This window comes from Homo sapiens, chromosome 12 (assembly GCF_000001405.40).
Source record: "Homo sapiens chromosome 12, GRCh38.p14 Primary Assembly".
NCBI classification, from domain to species: Eukaryota; Metazoa; Chordata; class Mammalia; order Primates; family Hominidae; genus Homo; species Homo sapiens.
This window is the reverse complement of record NC_000012.12, coordinates 104,297,571-104,313,145: the sequence shown is the minus strand read 5'-3', so window position 1 is coordinate 104,313,145 and position 15,575 is coordinate 104,297,571. Positions and strand designations below refer to the sequence as shown.

The following is a 15,575-nucleotide window of genomic DNA, read 5'->3' as shown; positions in this document are numbered from 1 at the left end:
AAAGCATAACGAATAATTAATACCTGGGTACTTCACACACCATGATGATTAGTTAAACTCCAGGATAAAAATTAACAGATATTCAGATAGTTCTGAGAGTAGATTTTAAAATTATGCAGAATAGAGTAGTAAAATTGTTAGAATCAGCTGGAAACCTTAGACTTCTCTCACATAATTCCACTCAAACAATAACAGATTCAGCAATAACCTGAAAAAAGAAAGTGGCCATTTCCAAGCAAGTTGCCAAGTAGCTGAAAAAGCAGGTTTACTGATAGTCTACAGCCCTTAATGCAACCTGTATCCTATAAGGTGATATTTTAAAAATCATTTTAAAGTTTAATCTAATTTGGTTTCTAAGGCAGAATACTGAAGAAGTTTTTCTTCTGTATTACAAGATTTCCTAAAATTTTCACATGAGGCGCTCATGAAAAAGTTGACAACATCTATGATATTTCCAAATATATTTTTAGGGAGGGAAACAAGAGTTAGAAGTTTGTTTTGCAGAATATCTTTTATCATTCTCAGAGAATAAGCTTTGAATATTGGCAACTAGACCTCCAAAGGTTATTTGAAAGGACTGAGTCTACACGTCTTTCAAACACACCACCACTGGAGTAAAATACATCAGGTATTATTCCTCAATTACTTTCAGTAAAGCATTGCTTCATGCTACATACTGGTCTGCAGTATTTGGGCAGCTTCTACCCATTACTGATTCAGCACAAGCTATACCTTAGGGAATTATAACCACTTCATCTTTTAAAGGAACCTGTTGGGTAAGGATGACAGGCCCAAGGGGTCCTCACATGGGAAATTTATCTTGATTCAGAACCAGGAGCCTCACTCCTAACCTTCTTTATTTATACATCCTCTTCCCAATCACCCTCAGACCACAGAGTTAGTGGTTATTAGATAACCTCACATATACAAAAAGCAAATCATTTTTAATAAATGGGTTTAAGAAACCCAATTGCTCCCCATCTTTTTTTATATTGGAGAGAAGGGGTTATGAACAGGGAAATCATTCAAGTGAAAAAGACAAATATTAACTAAGAAATATTAACTAAGAAATATATTTGCTTAATTTCAGACCATTTCCACACAATACCCATATATATGTGTGTATATATACATATATATACACATATATATATATATTTTTTAAAGACAGAGTTTTGCTCCTGTTGACCAGGCTGGAGTGCAATGGTGCGATCTCAGCTCACTGCAAACTCGGCCTCCAAGGTTCAAGCCATTCTCCTGCCTCAGCCTCCCAAGTAACTGGGATTACAGGTGCCCACCACCACGCCTGGCTAATTTTTGTATTTTTAGTAGAGATGGAGTTTCACCACATTGGCCAGGCTGGTCTTGAACTCCTGACCTCAGGTGATCCGCCCACCTCGGACTCCCAAAGTGCTGGGATTACAGGCGTGAGTCACCACACCAGGCACAACACCCTTATTATCTCTGAAAAATCAATTAAACTTAAAGTGAACGGAAACGTGTTCCAAAATACTGGGCCCTATACTTTAATATAAGGAATGTATATTTTAATCTGGAAAAATGATTTATAAAGTGGTCCCTTACGATGTCCATGTCCTGCCCAAGTTAATGTGCAAAATGTCACAGGAGTGGATCAAATAAATTCCACAGAGAGAGGAGAGAACCCTGTCAGGGATGTTAATATTCTAATCACCACCCAGACAACAGACAACAGACAACACAAGGAGCCTTGCCTTAGCAGCTGCCAGACCTCCTGAGCCACCTCCAATGATGATAAGGTCATAGTCATAGGACTTGGGAAGATCTTCAGGGCCGTTCATTTTTAGTAGCTTTTGAAGTCTGCCCTCCTGATAAGCCTAAAGAAAAATAACAGAAGAGAAAATAATTTAACTTAAAATCAGCAATGTCCAAAAAGCTTTGTAAGAAAATCTTTTCTTAAAGAAAAACAAAAGGAATTTTCAAAGGGAAGATGCTGTTTAATTACAGCATACAGATGGAAATATTCAACCTTCCTTAAAGTTGTGAACTGCTTGCTTTATCTTAGTTTATTAACCCCAAAGACGGTCACTGCTAACTACTTTGAAGTGTTCGTATAGTACCTCTACATAAGTAAACCAACTTAGGTCTAAATCAGGTTTAATCATTAGCCTTTTTTTCCTAGAATTTTTAAACTAGGTTTTAAAGATAGGGGCTTGGTAAATATGGGCATAGCTTAATCTCAATATAACAATTTTAAAAGACCAGCCAAATATTTATTTAAGACATTTCTATACTGTTTGGCTGGGGCATAACATCTAAAAATTCAGAACAAAACTGTCAATTGATACTGACCTGCATGAAAAGTTAAACGTGAAAGTTGCTGCTTTTGTAGGATATTTTAAATAGGCACAACTCTGCAAAGCTCATTCCTTTAATTTGCATATGCATGAAGTCTCCCATATTTAATATTTACTTTCCATATACTTAGCAAGTAACAGACTTTTATAATTTAGGTGTTAGACTTAATTTTTAAAAAATCATTTCATTCCACTAATATAATTCTGATACACATTAATTATATTTCATATTCGTTTCATACAATATTTTGGTGATATATTTAATATTATCGCTTACTAAAATAAAAATCTATGTTAACAAGAGATAATGACTGAGAAAGTTGTTAACAAGCACAATAAAATGTTTTCAAAAAATCAAGTAGGCCAGGCACAGTGGCTCACGCCTGTAATCCCAGCACTTCGGGAGGCCAAGGCGGGAGGATCACTTGAAGTCAGGAGTTTGAGATCAGCCTGGCCAACGGGGTGAACCCTGTCTCTACTAAAAATACAAAAATTAGCCAGGTGTAGTGGCGGGTGCCTGTAATCTCAGCTACTCCGGAGGCTGAGGCAGGAGAAGCGCTTGAACCCGGGAGGCAGACGTTGCAGTGAGCCAAGATTGCGCCACTGCACTCCAGCCTGGGAGTCTCACAGAGTGAGACTCCATCTCATTTTAAAAAACAAACAAACAAAAAGCCTTAACTTTAATAACAAAAAAAAGCCCCCAAACTTACCAGCCCAAACTGCACATTTCTCTCTTGCCTACTATCAGATGTAGGGGGTGAAAGGCAGAGCTTGGGGTCAGCGGAAGAAGAAGGTTCTTGGGATGTGGAAGGGGGTGCGGTGGAGCAATGTGAAGGAGGAAGCACAGCACTGTGGCTACCTGTTGGCAGCATGGCGGGCATACGTAGTGGCTCAGGGACTGAAGGGAGAACACCTGGAAACCAGCAACAGTGGGGGCAAGACTGCACCACTCTGACAGTCTGCACAAAAGGTCTAGCACAAGAGGCTGGTAAACACAGCCAGTAGTCATCAACTGGCATTATGGCCAAGGTTCCTCCTTCAATACAAAGCACTGTGGGGGAAAAACAATTTGGTAATAATAGCCATTCGATCAAAGGATCAATTATGCTTCAAGTAACTAGTGTGACTCCCTACTGGGTCTCAAAGAGCATGACTTCCTGGTTTAAGAGTTAACTAATAAATCCAGTTAGATGTTCTGCTGGAAAAATAACATACAATCATTTTTTATCTCAACCTCATTTTATCTGCATGAAATTAGCAAAGATGGTGACAGAACACAATAACTGGCTGTCTAAATGAAAACCATGGTTCTAGGAATCCCCCTCCTCCAACATACCTACTAGAACAAATACCAGAAAATGTATCCTCATGCTGAAAAGTCACATATTCCCTTCACCAATGTTTACAATCCGTTCCTTACTGAAATTCTGTATGTAACCTGGCTTCTCCTGGTTCAAGCTTCAAGTCAAATTGTATCAACCAGTGCACAGATTTTACCAAAAAAGCTCTGAATGAACCTCACCATTTTTAAGCACTGTAGGTAAAATTTACCAATTGGCAAGACACAGGCAATTGAAGCATTCAGTTGACCTTAGAATGAAACATTATGAGACTGAGTGAGGTGGCTCATGCCTGTAATCCCAGCACTTTGGGAGGCCGAAGCGGGAGGGCTGCCTGAGCTCAGGAGTTCACAATCAGCCTGGGCAACACGGTGAAACCCCGTCTCTACCAAAATACAAAAAAAATTAGCCGGGCGTGGAGGCGTGCACCTGTAGTCCCAGCTATTCGGGAGGCTGAGGCAGGAGAACTGCTTGAACCCAGGAGGCGGAGATTGCAGTGAGCCAAGATCATGGCACTGCACTCCAGCCTGGGTGACAGAGCAAGACTCCGTCTCAAAAAAAAAAAAAAAAAGAAACATTGTTTTTAAAATTTTAACCAAACTTAAAATTGAAAGTGCTATCATTCAGTTCCATTTAAGTGGTACTTCACCTGAAATATAAATAAGACAGACAGTAGAAAACAGCTGCCCCAAACAGTAGAAGGTAGCACAGAGATGGGATAAGGAAAGGAGAAAAATTCCCCCATCCTCCTCCAACTACAACTGCTTGAAATTATGTCCGCTGACTGTGGTGGCTGCTACAGAGGTTCTCAAACTCTTTCATCTCAGGACTCCTTTACAATCTTAAACAGAGCTTTAAAATTGAGACTCCAAAGAGCTTGTTAATGTGGGTTTTATCTATTTACTATATTAGAAATTAAAACTAAGAAGAAACTTAAAATATTCATTAACAAATTAAAAATAATATATTTATTAAATGTTAACGTATTTTTATTTTAAAAAATTTTTTAATTAGAAGAATGGCACTGTTTTGTATCTTTGCGATTCTCTTTAATGTCTGACAACAAAAGACAGCTCATATCTGTTTCTCCATTCAATCTGTTGCCACATCACCTGTCATATAACCTCTGGAAAACTTCACAGTTTACATGCAAGAGAATTAAGAGTGAAAAGGGCAGCGAGGCGTGGTGGCTCACGCCTGTAATCCCAGCACTTTGAGAGGCCAAGGCGGGTGGATCATGAGGTCTGGAGATCGAGACCATCCTGGCTAACACGGTGAAACCCCGTCTCTACTACAAATATAAAAAATTAGCTGGGCGTGGTGGCAGGCGCCTGTAGTCCCAGCTACTCGAGAGGCTGAGGCAGGAGAATGGCGTGAACCCGGGAGGCGGAGCTCACAGTGAGCCAAGATCATGCCACTGCACTCCAGCCTGGGCTACAGAGTGAGACTCCATCTCAAAAAAAAAAAAAAGAAAGAAAAGGGCAAACAGCATCTTACTATTATGAAAATAATTCTGACCTTAAAGTATGCCAAAAGGGCCTCATACACTTTGAGAACCAATGCTATAGAATATGAGATGACCTGCAGGCAACTGTCACTTGTTGGCAAGGCTTACACATTAGATAGCCTTCCTTTTCATCCACCTGCCTGTCATAGTAATCCCTTTCCCCAGACCCACTCCTAGTAAAACACTGCTCCAGGCTCCCCCAAAAAGGGCACAAAACAGAAAGCAATTCAACTGTGGCAGTCTTTTAAAATTGGAATAAGCAATCCTGACTTTTCCCCTAAACATAGTTTCTATCCTTTGCCAGATTTGTACTTTTATTTCCCCTACCATTATAGATGGCTCTGATGCAGAAATAACCTGCGTTAAAATACTTGCTCTACCACTCACAAGGCCAGGTGACTTCGACCAATCACCTAATCCTTAACGAAGCTAACAGGTTCCTGACCTCATCAAATGGCTGAGTTTAAGAAAGATAATGCATGTTAGCATAGTGGCTGGTAGGAATTAATCCCTTTAAGTTACTAATTCTCCATCTCCTGAAGAAGGGAAATTGCCTGGAACTAAGTCAAGAAGTGCTGGAATGTATTTACACTGGTGTCCTCCGCTGAGCTTCCCTGCGTCAATCTCCACTATTTTGAAATGCCCTCTTCCTAACAAATCTTGATCCAGTATATAGACAGACTAGCATAATGTTATTTCTATTCAGTATACAAACGTATTAGCAAGAAACAAGCAGATTTGCAGTTTGATTCTTAACCTCTATAAATTTTTAATCTCCTTTTTTCTTCAAGGTAAGCAGTCAGTTTAATTTCAAAATTTCAAAAATGATGAGGCAATCCATCATCCTCATCATTTTACTGGTTGGTGTCATGCCAACCAGTAAAAATAGAAACAGAAGTGGTCAACTTTATATTTTAACAGCTATTAACTTTAGAGAAGACCAAAAAAATTACCTCTCCTAAGCCTCCAGATTCTCTATTAATGCTTTTAAATCATCACTGTCAAATACTCCTAGTAAAGACATGAGACATTCAACAGAGCAACTGAATGTCAGTAAAGTACTGGGGCGGGATCTTTTTGCTGTCATTAAGAGTACTTTTTCTTCCAACAGCAGATCTCTGCAAAACCCAAGGAACTTGGTTGGTAGAGACATGCTGGAAATGAGGATGAGTGAGATCAAATGGTGCTTCCATGACTGCTACTATAAATCAAAGGATACTAGACACTAGCAAGGGTCAGCGCTCTTTCATATGTGAAAGGAGTAACTAATTTAGAAAATAATTTGCCAAGTTTCATGAGAAAGTTCTATTTTTGCTAAAACCTCTACTCTATTATTGGTGAAGAACCTCATCTCCATACATGAAAAATCCTTCCTCTCAGTCTTGGTGTCATTTGTTGAGTCTTTGGATTTCCCTTTCCTGTACCACTAGACTTACTAGGAAAGTTTGCCACTGCTATGCATAACAGATACCTAAACATTTGCCAAAGTATTGTTTAATGGCAAAATTCCACGACTACCAAAAATTAAGCTCCTATAGGGATCAAGGGGAAGAAAGCTTATGGGTATGCTTACTGCACCTTCTCAAGTTACTTTCTTAATGACCCAAACTTTTGGCAATAATCTCCAAATAAGGTTGTAATTTATGCAACGGAAAGAAAAAAGCCTTTATGGCTTTACACTAAGTGAAGAACATCCAGATAAACTAACATGTTTTAGTTTCAGCAAGGTCAGTTTCCTGGCATTTAAAGCCCTATTAAGAAATGCAAAATTTGGCTCACACTTGTAATCCCAGCATTTCCGGAGGCCGAGGCGGGTGGATCACTTGGGGCCAGGTGTTCGAGACCAGCCTGGCTACCATGGCGAAACTCTGTTCCTACTAAAAATACAAGTATTTGCTGGGTGTGATGGCACACACCTGTAATCCCGGCTACTTGGGAGGCTGAGGCACAAGAATCGCCTGAACCCCGCAGGCAGAGGTTGCAGTGGGCCGAGATTGCACCACTGCACCCCAGCCTGGGCAAGAGTGATACTCTGTCTCGAGGGGGAAAAAAAAAGATAGAAATGCAAAATTAAAGTGGGACAAATATTCAAAGTTGTTACATGATGAAAAAGCGTAGATTGTGAAGGACATTCTATGTACTAGCAAAGACCACAAAGGGACACTAGGGGCCAGAGAAGAAATTCAGTAGATAAAAACTACAACTGGATAGCAAGATCTTGTGTTCAATGTATAATAGTTTGACAAAAACATCTTCTCAGGATATTAATAGATGAAGTTATTCAATTGTTGCCCAGCTTATCAAATATAATAGTTTTTCCATAAATCTAATGGTCCTCTCGTGCCTAACTTCTAACAATTCCATGCATTTGACCTTGCTATTCTCTTGCCTAGAATGCCTTTTCCTTCTTCGTGTTTCTACTCACCTTTCACCCTTAGCTGATACCTCAACTACTACAGCAGAGACACTACTTTTGCTGAGTACAATAACAGAAATTGTTTAGAATATGGATACTCACTCATAAATCCTAAGTCTTCCTTGCAATGACTTTTTTAGTCTTAATGTTGCATATTCACTGCCTTACAGACAGGTTTTTTTTTTTAACTTTTGTTTTTTACCCACTCTTTGCCCAACCTGGTTAGGAACCCTTTCTGGGATTCTCTTGGTTCCCTATGACAGAGAAAGCAACGCATCACAGAGCATCATCACTGATTTTCGTAAATTATTATGTTTTGCAAATTATCAAATATCCCTTAATTTGGTATCCAAAACTTGTTTTTATTAATAGTCTTAAAGGGCATTCAATAAAACGTTCCCATAAATATGCCAGTGAATTTGTTTTAATAACAGAAGATCATGACCTTATAAATTACTAAGAAAAATATGCTGCACAGTAAAACAATGTCTGATGTTCTTGAAAATACTTTTTCACTTTACAAGAGATACAATATGTGCTTCAGTTTACATTTTACTCTCCATCTAACTTCAGAAAAAAAACACAAAAAGGATGCTATACTAAGAAATCTTTAGTATGAGGAGTATGTAATCATAGCCTCAGAAATTTCAAAAGCTGCCACAATGTTTTTCCACTCCTGTAAAGTCAAAGATATAACTCCCTGTTTCCTGCCATGGCAACTGGAATCATTTCCCTCACCCATTTGGTTAACATTCATCGGCTCTAATATTGGCAGCCTGTCTTCATCAAGCCTTATTCTTGCAAAACCATCTCTTACAATAAAAGAAACATAAAATATATTCTCCACAGTACGAGAAAAAGAGTTTGGATCAATCACAAACTCAAAATAGGACACAGGAGTATCAGGATACTTTCGAAAGTAGGTTTGCAACAATCCCAAAATCCTTTCTACGTTTTTTTCTGTCGCTTCTGGATAACTACTCAGGTCCAACTTCTGCAACTTTGTAGGCATGTTGCCATTTTCTTCCATCTTGCGAACTTTTTTCTGGTGTTCAAGTCGGGGCTTTGGTGCAGAACGTTCTAGCTTGAATGAACCAAAAACAAAATGGAATGTCTCAGCTTTTACCATCCAGGATGTTGCTTCCTTTTCTATTGCCTTCCAGAAGGAAAGAGCTATGCTATCATCACAATCACTCAACTTGTCAGGATCGCCTTCCATCCAATTCAGACCCACGAACAGAAACAGAAAGTCACAAAATGCTAACTGATTAAAGAAGTTCATATCTGAGTTTAACTGCTTTGCCTTTTCTTTACCCAAATCAGAAGCCATAACAAGAAACCGGGCGTCGAGGGCTGCTTCTCTGGTTCGGCTCACGCCATCAAAGAGGACGTTGGCTTCCTCCAGAGCCTCGGTTAAGGAGTTGTTCGCCGAGCTCACGATGTCCTCCCGGTTCTGCCGCACGCAGTACATGAGCTGCCGGTACTGCCTGCGGATGCTGCGGCACTTCTCCTCGTCAGCGGTGAGCTCCAGGAGCTTTGGGTCTACGTCGGCCTCCCCAGAGCTGAGGTCGTCGGAGCAGCCCGCGGCCCTCACTGACACATCCATCTTCATCAGCGCTCCCTCCGCCGCCGCCTACTTCGCCGCGTACTCGCTACCGGGGATGATCACGAGCTGCTCCTCTCCTTTCTCTTCGTCTCCCTTCCGGGAAGCTTTTTCAACCAACATGCCGGCCACGGGTATCTCTGAGGTAACGGCCCTCCCAGCGTGTGGAAAGTGGCGGCAGTTAGAGCCGAGGACGCCCGCCCATGCGCACTAGCGGCCCGGCCCGGCGCGACCCGCCCCCAGCACGCTCCGCGGGAAGACAGCCCCGCCCCGGCCCGGCCCAGCCACAAGCCGAGGCGCTCGCTCATAGACCAGCGCGGCGCTCCCAACACGCGCAATGATGGGCCCTGACCTCACACGCGACTAATGCCCGCTCAGGGGACAGCTATTCTTTTTCAAAGCGTTTACCGACTGGATCACCTCACTTTAAAAAAAAACACTTTTGGACAACTTTACACAAAACTATTGAGGAGACTAAAGGTCCTGCGCTTTAAAACGCTCGCTGCCATCATATACTGCAGTGAGGTCGACCTGGTTTTGGTTTTTTGTGAACTAAATCTGGCTGGACTGTAAACCGTCGGTAAGGCCAAGGACCGTGAAAAGCAGAAACTCCATTAAGCAGGCTAAACTCTCAGTTCTTTTGCAAGGTGGTGTTTGGACTCATTATACAAATGTAAATCGGGTTAATTACTTTCACATGTCCTCTTAAAAACCAAGCCCCCTCCAATACCCATCCTGAGTATCTGTGGGATCGGGGGAGCCTCCAATATCCGTGCTAACCCCTGCAGGAAACTGGGTGCTGGGCACGGGCATTACTCAGGTGAACTTTGGTTCTCCACTACCCAGGAGTGGAAGAATAGAATGGGTAGAGATCTCTGCAAAAGAGCTATTTACTTGGAAGCTTGCCAACAGCTAAAGGCCACCGACACTGAATGGGTAGTAACTCTGAACCCTAAAAGGTGGGCAAAGCTATGAAAATTTCAGATACAGTCTAAGGATATGAAAGCTTAATCTGTAAACTGGGTGAGTAATCTGCGTGGGAAAATTTACCCATTGGATTTAATGGGGTCACTGGAAACTCAAGTGCAGTTAAAGACGTGACTCCTTATCTGTCTCACCAGCAGCAAATAGCAAAGTATACATAACAATGGGAATGGCCGGGCGCGGTGGCTCACGCCTGCAATCCCAGCACTTTGGGAGGCCGAGGCGGGCGGATCACGAGGTCAGGAGATCGAGACCATCTTGGCTAACCCGGTGAAACCCCGTCTCTACTAAAACTACAAAAAATTAGCCGGGCGCGGTGGCAGGCGCCTATAGTCCCAGCTACTCGGTAGGCTGAGGCAGAAGAATGGCGTGAACCCAGGAGGCGGAGTTTGCAGTGAGCCGAGATCGGGCCACTGCACTCCAGCCTGGGCTATAGAGCGAGACTCCGTCTCAAAAAAAAAAAAAAAAAAAAAGGGAATGAATACATCTGGTTTTTAAAGAGAACATGCACACAAACAACCCATGAGCATCAACAGCTTTTCAAACCTGCAACAGGTACACCTTAAAAAAAAAAAGACACCCACAATTGCACCTGTCCAATTGCCAGTTTCATAGCACCAGGAAGTAAATTAGCCCTACCTTCCTTTATGCATATAGACTTGTTCTATTTCTTTAGCATTAGCAGAAAGTTTTTTGTAAATGTATAAACAGCAAAATCTAGTAGTATTAAGTTACTCCAAAATCCTTATATTACCATTTGCTCCCAATTATTTTATTAACTAGGGGTAATTCAGGGAGATACGTGCATTTTTCAAAACACCATGCATTACGGTTAGTTGTACATATATATGATCCTACCCTATTAGATTGTTGGCTTCTCAAAAACAAAAGCTGCGTTTTAGATCTTCCAAACATAGCTGTTTTTACACGGAGATGCACTTATGTACTGAATGTATAACTTAAAATAGATTTAAAACTATCCCAGCATCTACTGCAAGTTATTTGGCAGCAAAGATTTAAGTTCACAGATTCGTGGAATTAATCCTACACACTGAAAGGAAAAGTTGACTGCTCTTCAGAAAAAGTTCTTATCCCTCTTCTAAAATAAAGGAAAAATGAAAGAAAGGTAAGTTGAGACCCAGGATCATTCAAGGATCGTATCTGTCCCTAGTCTGGCCAATTACAAACTAGTATTTGAACTTGTTTTAAATCTTAGGTGAAAATACAGTTAAGAATTCCAAGACCCAAATCCAAAAAAGTCTGCTTTTACAGTGAACGATATTCTTAGGAGCTTCTCACATCCACTTTAAATTCAACAAAAGCAGCCGGGCACGGTGGCTCACGCCTGTAATCCCAGCACTTTGGGAGGCTGAGGCGGGCGGATCACGAGGTCAGGAGATCAAGACCGTCCTGGCTAACACGGTGAAACCCCGTCTCTACTAAAAATACAAAAAATTAGCCGGGCGTGGTTGCAGGCGCCTGTAGTCCCAGCTACTCTGGAGGCTGAGGCAGGAGACTAGCCTGAACCCAGGAGACGGAGCTTGCAGTGAGCCAAGATCGCGCCACTGCACTCCAGCCTGGGCGACAGAGCGAGACTCCATCTCAAAAAAAAAATTCAACAAAAGCTACTTACAAAAGAACTCTAACAGATAAGCCAACCCTTCCCACCCTATGGTGCCTATTTTCTTCTGGCTCAGAGGAAGGAAAATAGGCTGACACCAATTTGCTACATAAAGACCCTTTCATCTAAGAATTTCAAAATGCCTTAGAAAACTATATTCTCCCAACCTGCTTATAAAGTATTACTAATACCATTTACAGGGATTTCTCAGGAGATAACAGCCCACACAACTTGCTCAGAGCAACAGAGCATATCGAGGCAAACATTAAGTTGTGATTTACAGTGCTGAATGCATTCTATGCTAGATCTCCAAGAACTTTATTAACATGTAACTTAGATCATCCTAAGAAAGGCAGACTTGCATTATGTTCCACCTTTAAAAATCTGCCTTTAGGCCAGGTGCGGTGGCTGACACCTGTAATCCCAGCACTTTGGGAGGCCGAGGTGGGTGGCTCACCTGAGGTCAGGAGTTTGAGACCAGCCTGATCAATATGGAGAAACCACGTCTCTACTAAAAATAGAAAATTAGCTGGGCGTGGTGGCACATGCCTGTAATCCCTGCTACTTCAACCTGGGAGGCAGAGGTTGCGGGTGAGACAAGATTGCACCATTGCACTCCAGCCTGGGCAACAAGAGCGAAACCCCGCCTCAAAAACAAAACAAAACAAAACAAATCTGCCTTTAGACATTGCTACAAAGTAAAACAATCTCAAGTTCAATAACTCTCCCCAATCATATAAAGAATGGGATTTCCATGCCGGTTAATCTTTAAGTCATTAAACAGTGATTTCCTAACCTAAGGTCCAAGTGCTACTAATAATTATTTAAATGAAGCTTAAAAAGAAGAAACTGCACTACTGATAAATTTGTCTGTGACCAGGAATAGAAAGCAAGAAGCGCACTGGTACTTCAAAGAAACCAGTGGCGTCTACCTTATTCCCGCAGTATAGACTAGTTCAGGCAACCATGAGACTGAGTTGCCTCAGAGATAATTTAGCTCCCCTCTTTCCCCTTTTTCCTCTTTCTTCGCTCAAGAGTTGCTACCCAGGGTTCAATACAGACCTCCATTTCCTTTCCTCTTTTCTTCACCCTTTTCTCCTATATTTTCAGTTCCTTTTCTAGGAGTTTAGGTTAATTCCAAGCATTCTTGAGCTCTTTCCCACAACCCATACTGCTCAACACAAACGTGATAGGGTGGATGACAAAGGTCACATGTCTCCCTGTAACCAAATAAAGGAAGAAGTCACGAGTCCACTATTTTTCTCCAGTGAGGTTTTGCTGTTAACACTTACCTATAACAAATGGATTTTTAAGAGACTTTTTGGAGCCAAAGCCAGGAATCAGTCAGGTTTGAGTCCCACACTCTAACATATACACTTATCCTAATAGCTACCTCCCTAAACTTTTCTGTTCCTTCTTTCATAGCAGCTTTTCTCCCTTCATACCACCATGGCTTCTGTTTAATATTGAGTTGTGAAGAAATGTGGTAAAATTCCTAGTTTGATTTGCCAGAATTAGCAGGACATTAGGTATAGTTTCTCTTTCATCTTAACTTTTTTTTTTTTTTTTTTGAGACGGAGTCTTGTTCTTGTCACCCAGGCTGGAGTGCAATGGCACGATCTCGGCTCACTGCAACCTACACCCCCCGGACTCAAGTGATTCTCCTGCCTCAGCCTCCCGAGTAGCTGGGATTACAGGCACGAGTCACCACGCCTGGCTAATTTTTGTATTCTTAGTAGAGACAGGGTTTCAGCATGTTGACCAGGCTGGTCTCGAACTCCTGACCTCGTGATCCGCCCGCCTCAGCCTCCCAAAATGCTGGGATTACATGCGTGAGCCACTGTGCCTGGCAGTTTCTCTTTCATCGTAATTTTCTTTAAAGTTATGTTTGTGTGTATATATTTTGTGTTTTGTTATTATTAAAGGTGAACTTTGCTATGATAAGACAGATATCTGTATTTTTTTTTTTAATGAAAATTAGTTTCTGAAAAGACCACAGACTGTGGGAGGGGACGATCTGGGTTCCAATCTTGACCTATTACCTATTAGTATTATCTTAGCCAGCTTGCTTAACCTCTCAGCCTCCAGTGTCTTTATTTATAAGACGGGAATACTACTGCAGTTGACCCTTGAAGGAAACAGCTTTGAATTGCACAGATCCACTTATACCAAAAGCAATAAAAAATACAGGTCTGCCTGCTCCTTAAAGAGGAAAAAGCTTGTGAGAAATAAAGAAATAAATACTGTATTTGTGAGATGTGATGTTTCACATCCGGTGAATACAGAGAGCTGACTTTCCATATATGCTGGTTCCACAGGGTGGACTTTGGGACTTGAGTATGTATGAATTTGGGTATACACAAGGGTCCTGGAACCAATCCCCTGAAGATACCGAGGGACAACTGTATTTATACCATATAATTACTACAGTGAATGAAAATTATGTAATATATCTGACAGTGTTTTCAACTACTGAGTAGGTACTTAATAAATCAAACAATCCCAAAGATAGCAAATGTAAAAAAAAAAACTGTATACAAACCAGTAGTTTCACTTCTGAATGTTGCTTTAGGAACAGAAAAAAATTTAATTTTTTTTATTTTTTATTTTTATTTTAGATAGAGTCTCGCTTGGTTGCCCAAGCTAGAGTGCAATGGTGTGATCTCAGCTCACTACAACCTCCGCCTCCCGGGTTCAAGTGATTCTCCTGACTCAGCCTCCCGAGTAGCTGGGATTACACGTGTGTGCCACCGCGCCCAGCTAAGTTTTGTATTTTTAGTAGAGATGGGGTTTCTCCATGTTGGCCAGGCTAGTCTCAAACTCCTCATCTCGTGATCCACCTGCCTCAGCCTCCCAAAGTGCTGGGATTACAGGTGTGAGCCACTGCGCCCGGCCCCAGAAAAATATTTTTAAAGGTTAAATCAGTAAGGAGGAACACAGGAATATATTCCACTATAACAAATACCAGTGAAAAGAAATTTGCCATATAACAAAATTTTAAAAACCTACGAAGGCTTCAACTATTCAAAGTGTGTACAGTAACACTTTGAAGGGTAATTCTCTGTACCAGATATTCTGAAGCAGATCCACAAATAGTCTGAGTTTATATGCAAAATTATTTATGTGCATTTTTCTCAGGAATAGCTCCTTAGATTTCAGCAGATTCTTAAGTCTAGTATCTAAAAGAGGCTTTGAATAACTGCTTTATTCAAATAAGATGGCATTATTATTGGAGAAGTAAAAGAGTCTCACTAAATAATCTGGACTCACTCATTTGAAATACTTTGGAGTAGATAAAATCTCCACCCTTGCTCTGTGGTCAAATCATATACTTAATGACACTTTAAAAACCCAGTGCTGGCTGACTTGCCAAGCCTCAAGAATATAAATAAGGGCGTGAGATGAAAAGAACAACCTTTCAGGTTACGAGAGCCTCCACAACACCTCAAAAGGCAGCAATGACTAGGAGTGTTATTTTGATAGACAGGGAGGGTAAGAAGGACTGGGTATGTGGCTACTAAAGGATGCAGCATTCTAGGAACTCCACTCAGGGATCAAATGAAAAATATCTGCATTATTAGTTTCCACTTACTTTCTTCGAAAATTGTAACAGAAGTCTATCAGATGTCTCACTCTGCCATACAGAGTGGTTGTCATCATTAAAAACAAAATCAGGCCGGGCATGGTAGCTTACACCTGTAATCTCAGCACTTTTGGAGGCTGACGCAGGCGGATCACCTGAGGTCAGGAGTTCGAGACCAGCCTGAC

The 15,575-nt window shown here is 41.3% G+C and overlaps 2 protein-coding genes across 8 annotated transcripts in view, besides 7 other annotated features; both read right to left on the bottom strand.

Moving 5' to 3' along the window:
- Positions 1-15,575, bottom strand: part of TXNRD1 (thioredoxin reductase 1) — a 134,529-nt gene that overhangs the window by 37,162 nt on the left and 81,792 nt on the right. For 6 of the 7 annotated variants that reach the window (NM_001093771.3, NM_001261445.2, NM_003330.4 and 3 more), the window contains one exon: positions 1,734-1,856. The exons of the other annotated variant lie outside the window; for it this stretch is intronic. In NM_001093771.3, the coding sequence (NP_001087240.1) occupies positions 1,734-1,856 (123 nt within the window). The remainder of the gene's footprint in view (positions 1-1,733; positions 1,857-15,575) is intronic. 7 annotated transcript variants of the gene reach the window in all.
- On the bottom strand, positions 7,941-9,407 carry EID3 (EP300 interacting inhibitor of differentiation 3). The gene has a single exon (NM_001008394.3). The coding sequence runs from the start codon at positions 9,209-9,211 to the stop codon at positions 8,210-8,212; it is 1,002 nt and encodes a 333-aa protein (NP_001008395.1). The 5' UTR covers positions 9,212-9,407; the 3' UTR covers positions 7,941-8,209.
- Positions 8,607-9,479: an enhancer, noted in NCBI's record as "H3K27ac-H3K4me1 hESC enhancer chr12:104697445-104698317 (GRCh37/hg19 assembly coordinates)". NCBI's record gives its function as "activates a minimal SCP1, AML or CMV promoter by ChIP-STARR-seq in primed H9 embryonic stem cells {active_cell/tissue: H9 hESC(primed)}" and the evidence as "EXISTENCE:reporter gene assay evidence [ECO:0000049][PMID:30033119]".
- Positions 8,607-9,569: a biological region, named in NCBI's record as "H3K27ac-H3K4me1 hESC enhancer GRCh37_chr12:104697445-104698317".
- Positions 8,970-9,029: an enhancer, noted in NCBI's record as "active region_6909". NCBI's record gives its function as "activates an Ori minimal core promoter by ATAC-STARR-seq in GM12878 lymphoblastoid cells {active_cell/tissue: GM12878}" and the evidence as "EXISTENCE:reporter gene assay evidence [ECO:0000049][PMID:35858748]".
- Positions 9,060-9,299: an enhancer, noted in NCBI's record as "active region_6908". NCBI's record gives its function as "activates an Ori minimal core promoter by ATAC-STARR-seq in GM12878 lymphoblastoid cells {active_cell/tissue: GM12878}" and the evidence as "EXISTENCE:reporter gene assay evidence [ECO:0000049][PMID:35858748]".
- Positions 9,340-9,569: a silencer, noted in NCBI's record as "silent region_4793". NCBI's record gives its function as "represses an Ori minimal core promoter by ATAC-STARR-seq in GM12878 lymphoblastoid cells {active_cell/tissue: GM12878}" and the evidence as "EXISTENCE:reporter gene assay evidence [ECO:0000049][PMID:35858748]".
- Positions 11,271-11,440: an enhancer, noted in NCBI's record as "experimental_23840 CRE fragment used in MPRA reporter constructs". NCBI's record gives its function as "activates a minimal promoter by MPRAs in K562 erythroleukemia cells, with activity observed for both the introgressed and non-introgressed 12:104695569 variant alleles {active_cell/tissue: K562}" and the evidence as "EXISTENCE:reporter gene assay evidence [ECO:0000049][PMID:34662402]".
- Positions 11,979-12,148: an enhancer, noted in NCBI's record as "experimental_23836 CRE fragment used in MPRA reporter constructs". NCBI's record gives its function as "activates a minimal promoter by MPRAs in K562 erythroleukemia cells, with activity observed for the introgressed 12:104694861 variant allele {active_cell/tissue: K562}" and the evidence as "EXISTENCE:reporter gene assay evidence [ECO:0000049][PMID:34662402]".